At 65.3% G+C, this 9961-nt stretch overlaps 1 annotated feature.

Moving 5' to 3' along the window:
* Positions 1129 to 1423: an enhancer, noted in NCBI's record as "tiled region #3620; HepG2 Activating DNase matched - State 12:CtcfO". NCBI's record gives its function as "activates a minimal TATA promoter and a strong SV40 promoter by Sharpr-MPRA in HepG2 cells {active_cell/tissue: HepG2}" and the evidence as "EXISTENCE:reporter gene assay evidence [ECO:0000049][PMID:27701403]".

Genomic DNA, 9961 nt, shown 5'->3' with positions numbered 1-9961 from the left:
AGGGGCAGGGAGGTTTGAAAGTGGAGGTCGAGGCACCGGTGGAAGAAAAAAACCGGCGGGGCAGAGCAGGGGTCTTGGCTCCTGGCTCCACCCACGCCCCCTCTGCCATGCATAAGCTTTGTCCTGTGAACCCTGGGATCCCAGATTCGCGCCCCCGGAGCGGCTGGACCCTTCGGGGGACTGCCCAAAGAGGCAGGGAGGCTTGAAATGGGAGGTCGAGGCACCGATGGAAGGAAAAATAACTGGCAAGGCAGAGCAGAGGTCTTGGCCCCTGGACTCCCCACGTCCCCCCTGCCGCATATCCTTGGGGTACTGGGGATCCTGGGCTCCCGGATGAGTGCCCCCAGAGCGGCTGGGCCCCGGGGGGTGCCGCCCAAAGCGGAGGGAGGCTTGAAATGGGAGGTCAAGGCACCGGTGGAAGGAAAAAAAAAAAACAGCGCGGAAGAGCAGGGTTCTTGACCCCTGGCCAACGCACGCCTCCACTGCTGGGTATGCGCGGTTTCCTGGGGACGCTGAGGTCCCGGGTTCGAGGCCCCATATCAGCTGGACACTGCGGGGGACTGCCCAAAGAGGCAGGGATGCTTGAAAAGGGAGGTCGAGGCACTGGAGAAAGGATAAAAAACGCCACGGTTGAGCAAGGGTCTTGGCCCATGGACCCCCACCCACGCACGCCACCACTGCCACGCATGCACGGTGTCCCGGGGACCCTGTGATCCTGGGTTTGGGCCCCTGGAGCGGGTGGACCTCGCGGGGGGCCTCCCAAAGAGGCAGGGAGACTTGAAAGGGGAGGTCGAGGCACTGGTGGAAGGAAAAAAAACCGGCAAGGCAAAGCAGGGTCTTGGCCCTGGCCCCCTTCACGCGCCCCCTTGCTGCGCATGCCTGGGGTCCAGGGTTCGCGCTCCCAGAGCGGCTCGACCCCGCGGGACGACGCCCAAAGAACCAGGGGGTCTTGAAAGGGGAGGTCGAGGCCCTGGGGGAAGGAAAAAATTCGCCGCTGTAGAGCAGGAGTCTTGGCCCATGACCCCCCACACGCCGCCCCTGCCGCGCATGCGTGAGGTCCCCAGGACTCTTGGGTGCTGGGTTCGCGCCCCCGGAGTGGTTGGACATTGCGGGGAGCCGCGAAAAGAAGCAGGGAGGCTTGAAAGGGGAGGTCAAAGCCCCAGTGGAAGGAAAAAAAAACCAGAGCGGCAGAGCAGGGGTCGTGGCCCCTGGCCAATCCCACGCGCCCCCTGCTGCCCATGCGCGGGATTCCGGGTCTGCACCCCTGGAGTGGTTGGTCTCTGCAGCACGCCGCCCAAAGCAGGTAAGAGGCTTGAAATGAAAGGTCCAGGCAAAGAAAAGTCAAGACAGCGGTGGAAGGAAAAAAACTGGCAAGGCAGAGGAGGGATCTTGGACCCTGGTCCCCCCACGCGCCCCCTGCCACGTATGCGCGGGGTCCCGGAGGCCGTTAATTCTCGGGTTCTCGCCCAAGGAGGGGCTGGACCCCCCAGGGGGCAGCCCAAAGAGGCAGGGAGGCTTGAAAGGGGAGGTCGAGGCATCATTGGAAGGAAAAAAAAACCGGCAAGACAGAGCAGGGGTCTTGGCCCCTGGCACCTCCCAACACCCACCCTACCACACATGCGTGGGGTTTCGGAGACCCTGGGGTCCTGGGTTCGTGCTCCCGGAGAGGCTGGGCCCCGGGTTTGCCACCCAAAGTGACAAGGAGGCTTGAAAGTGGAGATCGAGGCACCAGTGGAAGGAAAAAAAAAAGAGATGCAGGGCAGGGATATTGGCCCCTGACCCCACCCCACGCCCAATCTGCCGCGCATGCGCAAGGTCTCTGAGACCCTGGGGTCCAGGGTTCACGACCCCGGAGCGGCTGGACCCAGCAGGGGACTGCCCAAAGAGGCAGGGAGGCTTGAAAGTGGAGGGTGAGGCACTGATAAGAAGGAAAAAAAAACGGCCACGGTAGAGCAGAGGTCTTCGCCCATGGCCACCACGCCATCGCTTCCACGCATGCGCGGGGTCCCTGGGACACAGGGGTCCCGCATTCGCACCCCCGGACAGGCTGGAGACCGCGGGGTCCGCCCAAAGCGTCAGGGAGGCTTCAAAAGGGAGGTCCAGGCACAGGTGGAAGGAAAAAAATCGGCGAGGCAGAGCAGGGGTCTTGGCGACTGGCCCCACCCACGCCCCCTCTGTAGCGCATACGTGGGGTCCAGCGAAACCTGGGGTCCCGGATTTTCGCCCCCGTAGAGGCTGGACCCCGCAAGGTGCCGCCTAAAGAGGCAGGGAGGCTTGAAATGGGAGGTCGAGGCACCGGTGGAAGGAAAATTAACTGGCGAGGCAGAGCAGGGGTCTTGGTCCTTGGACCCCCCCACGCCCTCCCTGCCGCATATGCGTGGTTTCCTGGGGACCCTGGGGTCCAGGGTTCATGCCCCCGGAGAGGCTGGGCCATGCAGGGTGCCGCCCAAAGCTGCAGGGAGGCTTGAAAGGGATGTCGAGGCACCGGTTAAAGGAAAAAAAAACGGCGTGGTAGAGCAGGGGTCTTGGCCCCTGGCCCTGCTCACGCCGACCCTGACGTACATGCGCGTGTACTGGGGACCCCAGGTTCGCGCCACCGGATTGGCAGGGCCCCGCGGGGTGCAGTCAAAAGCAGCACAGAGGCTTGAAAGGGGAGGTTGAGCCACCGGTGGAAGGAAGAAAAACCTGCTCCTGGCCACCCCTCGCCGCCCCTACCGCGCATGCGCGGGGTCCCGGGTACCCTGGAGTCCCTGGATAGCGCCCCCGGAGCTGCTGGGCCCCGCGGGTTGCCGCCCAAAGCGGCAGGGAGGCTTGAAAGGGGAGGTCGAGTCTCCGGTGGATGGAAAACAAACCGGCCCAGTAGAGCAGTTTTCTTGGCCCCTGACCCCCTCCACGCCCGCCCCTGCCGCACTTGCGTGGGGTCTCAGGGAAGTTGGGGTCCCGGGTTCGTGCCCCCAGAGCGGCTCGGCCCCGCAGGGGGCCGCCCAAAGAGACAGGGACGCCTGATAGGGGTCGCCAAGGCACTGGTGGAAGGAAAAACAACCTGGTGTGGCAGAGCAGGTTTCGGGGCCTCTGGCTGCCCCCTGCCACGCATGCGTGGGTTGCCTGGGAAACTGGGGTCTTGAGTTCGCTCCCCTGGGGCGGTTGGGCGCCCCGGGGGCTGCACAAGGCGGCAGGGAGTCTTGAAAGGGGCGGCCTAGGCACCAGTGTAAGGAAAAAATACCCGGCGCGGCAGTGCAAGGGTCTGGGCAACTGGCTGCTCCCTGCTGGGCATGAGAGGGGTCCCAGGTTCGTGCTCCGGGAGCTGCTGGGCCTCGCCTGGGGCCGTCCAAGGCAGCAGGGAGGCTTGAAAGGGGAGGCCAAGGCACTGGTGGAAGGAGGAACAACCCAGTGCGGCAGAGCAGGGGTCTGGGCCCCTGGCCCCACCCTGCCGCGCATACGCGGGATCCCGGGGACTTTGGGGAACTGGGTTCACGCCCCAAGAGTGGCTGGGACCAGCAGGGTGCCGCCAAAGGCGGCAGGGAGTCTTGAAAGCGGAGGCCAAGGCACAGGTGGAAGGAAAAATTCCGGCGAGGCAGAGCAGGGTTCAGGACCCCTGGCTCCCCTCTGCCACACATGCACAGGATCCCAAACACCCCGGGATCCCGGGTTCCCGCCGCCGGAGCTGCTGGGCTCCTCGTGGTACGCCCCAAGGCGGCAGGGAGTCTTGAAAGGGGAGGCCAAGCTACAGGTGGAAGGAAAAGAAACCCGGCGTGGAAGAGCAGGGGTCCGGGCCCCTGGCCCCACCCTGCCGTGCATGCGCTGTTCCCGGGGACCCCGGGGTCCTGGTTTCACGCTCCTGGAGCTGCTGGGCCCCACGTGGTGCCGCCCAAATCAGCAGGGGAGCTAGAACGGGGAGGCAGAGTCACCGGTGGAAAGAAAAAAAACCCGGCACAGCAGGGCAGGGGTCGCGGAACCTGGCCACACCCTGCCGTGCATGCGCGAGGTCCCGGGGACCCTGGGGTCCCGGGTTCGTGCCTCCGGAGCTGCTGGGCCCCATGAGGGACCGCCGAAGGTTGCAGGGAGGCTTGAATGGGGAGGCCGAGGGACCGACACACTGGTGGAAAGAACAACCCAGCGCAGCAGAGCAGGGTTCGGGGCCCCTGGCCCCACGCTGCCACACATGAGCAAGGTCCCAGCGACCCCGTGGTCCTGGGTTTATGCCCTCGGAGCTGCTGGGCCCCGCGGGGGGCCTCCCAAAGCGGCAGGGAGGCCTGGAAGGGGTGGCCGAGGCACTGGTGGAAGGAAGAACAACTCGGCGCTGCAGAGCAGGGTTCAGGGCCCCTGGCTGCCTCTTGCCACGCATGCGTGAAGCCCCGGGGACCCTAGGGTCCCGGGTTCCCACCCCCGGAGTGGCTGGGCCCGCGGGGGGCAGCCCAAGGTGGCAGAGAGGCTTGAAAGGGAAGCCGAGGTACAGGTGGAAGGAAAAAAAACCCGGCGCGGCAGAGCAGGGTCGGGGTCCCTAGTCCATCCCTGCTGTAGATGCACGAGTCCTGGGCACCCCGGGGTCCCAGGTTCGAGCCCCCGGAGCTGCTGGGTCCCGCTGGGGGCCGCCCAAGGCCGCAGGGAGGCTTGAAAGGGGAGGCCGAGACAATGGTGGAAGTAAAAAAAAAACCCGGCGCTGCAGAGCAGGGGTCAGGGCCCTGGCCCCAAGTGGGATCCCCCGGGACCGATGCATGAGCCGCAGGGGTGGGCCAGGGGCCCAGCCGCTCCATGGACACGAATCAGGAACCCTGGTGTTCCCGGGACCCGCGCATGCGCGGCGGGGGGAGCCAGGGGCCCGAACCCTGCTCTGCCTCGCTGGGTTTTTTTCCTTCCACCAGTGCCTCGACCTCCCATTTCAAGCCTGCCTGCCTCGTTGGGCGGCCCCCTGCTGTGTTCAGCTGCTCTGGGGGAGTGAATCTGGGACGCAAGTGTCCCCGGGCCCCCGTGCATGCGTGGCAGGTGGGGCTTGCGGGGGAAGGCCAGGGGCGAAGACCCCTGCTCTGCCTCGCCAGTTTTTATTCCTTCCACCAGTTCCTCGACCTACCCTTTCAAGCCTCCCTGCCTCTTTGGGCGGCCCTACGCGGGGTACAGCCAGTCCTGAGGCGCCAACCCGGGACCCCTGGCCTTTCAAGACTCCCTGCTTCTTTGGCGGCAGGGTCCCCTGGACCACGCGCATGCGCGGCAGGGGTGGCACGAGGAAGGCCCGGGGCCAAGACCCCTGCTCTACATCGTCAGGTTTTCTTCCTTCCACCGGTGCCTCCATCTCCCCTTTCAAGCCTCCCTGCCTTTTTGGGCAGCACCCCACGAGGTCCAGCTGCTCTGGTGGAGCGAACCCAGAACCCCACAGTCCTGGGACCCTGCGCATGCGCGGCAGGGGAGGCGGGGGGAGGGGTCAGGGGCCAAGACCCCTGCTCTGCCTCGCCAGTTTTTTTTCCTTCCACGGGTGCCTCGACCTCCCCTTTCAAGACTCCCTGACTCTTTGGGCGGCTCCTTGTGGGGTGCGAACCCGGGACCCCTGGCCTTTCAAGCCTCCCTGCCGCTTTGGCCGGCATCCCGCGGGGGGACCACCCCCTCCGGGGCGTGAACGGGGGACCCCAGGGTCCCTGGGACACCGCGCATGTGCGGCAGGGTGTGCGTGTGGGGGGCCAGGGGTCATGACCCCTGCTCTGCCTCGCCGGTTTTATTTCCTTCCACCGGTGACTCAACCTCCCATTTCAAGCCTCCCTGCCTCTTTGGGCGGCACCCTGCTGGGTCCAGTCCCTCCAGGGGCGCGAACCCGCGACCTCAGAATCCCTGGACCCCGCGCTTGCGCGGCAGGGGCGGCATGGGGGTTGCAGGGTCCAAGAACCGTGCTCTACCACGGCGGTTTTTTTTTCCTTCCACCGGTGCCTCGACCTCCCCTTTCAAGCATCCCTGCCGCTTTGGGCGGCACCGCGCAGGGCCCAGCCACTCCGGAGGCATGGACCCCGAACCCCAGGGTCCCCAGGACCCCGCACATGAGCAGCAGGGGTGGCATGGGGGAGGCCAGGGGCCAAGACCCCTGCTCTCCCTCGGCAGTTCTTTTTCCTTCCACGGGTGCCTCGATCTCCCCTTTCAAGACTCCCTGCCTCTTTGGGCGGCTCCTTGTGGGGTGCAGCCGCTCCGGGGGGGTGAACCCGAGACCTCAGGGTCCCTAGGACCCCGCACATGCATGGCAGCGGGGGCGTGGGGAAGGCCAGCGGCTAAGACCCCTGCTCTGCCTCGCCAGTTTATTTTCCTTCCACCGGGTCCTCGACCTCAACTTTCAAGCCTCCCTGCCTGTTTGGGCTGCCCCGCAAGGGATCTAGCCACGCCGGCGGTGCAAACCTGGGAGCCCAGGGTCCCCGGGATCCTGCGCATGTGCAGCAGGGGCGGTGTGGGTGGGGCCATGAGCCAAGACCCCCGCTCTGAGGCGCCAGAATTTTTCCTTTCACCGGTTCCTCGACCTCCCCTTTCAAGCCTCTCTGCCTCTATGTGCGGCCCCCCGCGGGGTCAGGCCACTCCGGGGTCGCGAATCTGGGACCTCAGGGTGTCCGGGACCCCGCACATGCATGGCAGGGATGGCGTGATATGGGCCATGGGCCAAGACCCCTGCTCTACCGCGGCTTTTTTTTCCTTTCACCGGTGATTCGACCTCCCATTTCAAGTCTCCCTGCCTCTTTGGGCAGCCCCCCGCAGTGTCCAGCCGCTCGGGGAGTGCAAACCCGGGACCCCGTGTATGCACCGAATGGGGTGCGTGGTTTTGGACAGGGGCCAATACCTCTGCTCTGCCTCGCCGGTGTTTTTTCCTTCCACTGGTGCCTCGATCTCATTTTTCAAGCCTGCCTGACTATTTGGGCAGTCCCCCGTCTGGTCCAGCTGCTCCGGGGCACGAACCCTGGACATCGTACATGCGTGGCAGTGGTGGCATGGGGGGGGGGGTACCGGGGGCCAAGAACCCTGCTCAGCCTTGCCCGTTTTTTTTCCTTCCACAGGTGCATCGACCTCCCATTTCAAGCCTCCTTGCTGCTTTGAGCAGCACCCCGCGGGGCCCAGCTGCTCCGGGGGCGTGAACCCGGGACCCCAGCATCCCCAGTACCCCACGCATGTGCGGCAGGGTGAGCGTTGGTGGGGACAGGGGCCAAGAACCCTGCTCTGCCTCGCCGTTTTTTTTTTCTTCCACTGGGGCATTGACCTCCCCTTTCAAGCCTCCCTGACTCTTTGGGCGGGCCCCCGCGGGTTCCAGCCACTCCAGGGGCGTGAACCCGGGACTCCCCGGTCCCTGGGACCCCGCGCATGCGTGGCAGGGGCGTCATGGGGTGGGCCATGTGCCAAGACCCCTGCTCTAAAGCAGCCGTTTTTTTTCCTTCCCCCAGTGCCTCATCCTCCCCTTTCAATCCTCCCTGCCGCTTTGGGCGGCACCCCGCGGGGCCCAGCCGCTCCGGGGGCACGAACTCCGGACGCCGCGCATGAGCGGCAGGGGTGTGCATGGGGGTGCCAGGGACCAAGAACCGTGCTCTACCGCGCCGGATTTTTTTCCTTCCACCGGTGCCTCGACCTCCACTTTCAAGCCTCCCTGCCGCTTTGAGCAGCACCCCGCAGGGTCCAGCTGCTCCAGGGCGTGAAGCTGGGACCCCAGGGTCTCTGGGACCCCGCGCATGCGTGGCAGGGTGTGCGTGAGGGGGGCCAGGGGCCAATAACCTTGCTCTGCCTCGCCAGTGTTTTTTCCTTCCACTGGTGCCTCGACCTTCACTTTCAAGCCTCCCTGCCGCTTTGAAAGGCACCCTGCGGGGCCCAGCCGCTCTGGGGTCATGAACGCGGGATCCCGCCCATGCACAGCACAGTGGGCATGGGTGTGCAAGAGGCCAAGTGCCCTGCTCTGCCTCACCGGTTTTTATTCCTTCCATTGATTCTTTCACCTCCCCTTTCACGTCTCTCTGCTGCTTTGAGCGGCACCCCGCAGGGTCCAGCCGCTCCGGGGGCGTGAACCCAGGACCCCAGGGTCCCCAGGAACCCGTGCATGCACAGTAGGGTGGGCGTGGTGGTGCATGCGGCCAAGAACCCTGCTCTGCCTCTCCGTTTTTTTTTTCCTTTGGTGCCTCGACATCCCCTTTCAAGCCTCCCTGTCGCTTTGAGAGGCACCCCGCGGGTTCCAGCTGCTCCAGGGCTATGAAGCTAGGACACCAGGGTCTCAAGGACCCCGCGCATGCATGGGAGGGGGTGCGTGGCGGGGAGCAGGGGCCAAGACCCCTGCTCTGCCTCGCCAGTTTTTTTCCTTCCACCGGCGCCTCGACCTCCCCTTTCAAGCCTCCGTGCCTCTTTGGGCAGCAACCTGCGGGGTCCAGTCACTCTGGGGGCGCAAACCCAGGAACCAAGAGTCCCCGTAACCCCGCACATGCGCCGCAGGAGCGGCGTTGGCGGGGCCAGGGGCCAAGACCCCTGCTATGCCTCGCCGGTTATGTTCCTTCCACTGGTGCCTCGATCTCCCCTTTCAAACCACCCTGTCTCGTTGAAAGGCCCCCTGCGGGTTCCAGCACTCCCAGAGTGTGAACGTGGGATCCCTGGCCTTAAACTTGGCCTTGAACTTGAACTTAAACTTGGACTTGGAACTGGCCTTGAACTTGGACTTTGACTTGGCCTTGGCCTCGCCCGTTTTTTTGCGTTCCACCGGTGCCTCTACGTCCTCTTTCAAGCCTCCCTGCACCTTTGGGCGGCCCCCCCACCATGTCCAGCCGCTCCGGTCGCGCGAACCGGGCATTCCAGGGTCCCCAGGACCCCGCGCAGTGCACGGCAGGGTGGGCGTAGGGGGGGCCAGGGTCCGAGAACCCTGCTGTGCCTGGCCGGTTTTTTTCCTTCCACTGGTGCCTCGACCTCTCCTTTCAAGTGTCCCTGCTGCTTTGGGCGGCACCCCGCGGGGCCCAGCCACTCCGTGGGTGCAAACCCGGGACCCAGTGCATGCACAGCAGGGAGACATGGGTGGGGCTAGAAGCCAAGACCCCTGCTCAGCCTCGCCAGTTTTTTTTTTTTCCACCGGTGCCTCAACATCCCCTTTCTTCGACCTCACTTTTCAAGCCTCCCTGCCTATTGGGGCAGCCCGCCGCTGGGTCGAGCCGCTCTGGGGGCGTGAACCCAGGACCTCAGGGTCCCTGGGACCCCATGCATGCGAAGCAGGGAGTGTGTGTGGTTGGCCAGGGGCCAAGAACCCTGCTCTGCCTCGCCGGTATTTTTTCCTTCCACCGGTGGCTCGACCTCCCATTTCAAGCCTCCCTGCCTCTTTGGGGAGCCCGCCGTGGGGTCCAGCCACTCTGGGGGCACGAACCCGGCACCCCAGGGTCCCCTGGACCCCGTGCATGAGCGGCAGGGGGAGCGTGGTGTGGACCAGGGGCCAAGACCCCTGCCCTGCTGCGCAGGTTGTTTTTCCTTCCACCCTTGCCTCGACCTCCCATTTTGGGCCTCCCTGCCACTTTGGGCAGCTCCCCCTAGGGCTCAGCCGCTCCCAGGCGTGAACCCAGGACCCCAGGTTCCCTAGAACAGCGCGAATGCACTGCAGAGTGCGTGTGGGCTTCGCCAGGGGCCAAGATCTCTGCTCTGCCTCCTCGGTTTTTTTCCTTACCCCAGTGCCTCGACCTCCCATTTCAAGCCTCCCTGCCGCTTTAGACGGCACCCTGTGGGGCCCAGCAGCTCCGGGGGCGCGAACCCCAGATCCCCATGTCCCCAGGAGCCCTAGCATGCCAACAGCTCCCAGCCTCTTTGGGCCACCCGCCACGCGGTCCAGCTGCTCCGGGGGCACGAACCCGGTACCCCAGTGTCCCCAGGACCCCGTACATGCGCGGCAGGGATGGCGTGGGGGCTGCGGGGAAGGGGCCAAGACCGTTGCTCTACCATGGCGGATATTTTTTCTTTCCACTGCTGCCTCGACCTCCCCTTTCAAGCCTCCCTG

The sequence above is a fragment of the Homo sapiens genome, chromosome 12 (genome assembly GCF_000001405.40).
Source record: "Homo sapiens chromosome 12, GRCh38.p14 Primary Assembly".
Taxonomy (NCBI): domain Eukaryota; kingdom Metazoa; phylum Chordata; class Mammalia; order Primates; family Hominidae; genus Homo; species Homo sapiens.
This window is presented reverse-complemented; position numbering and strand designations above follow the sequence as displayed.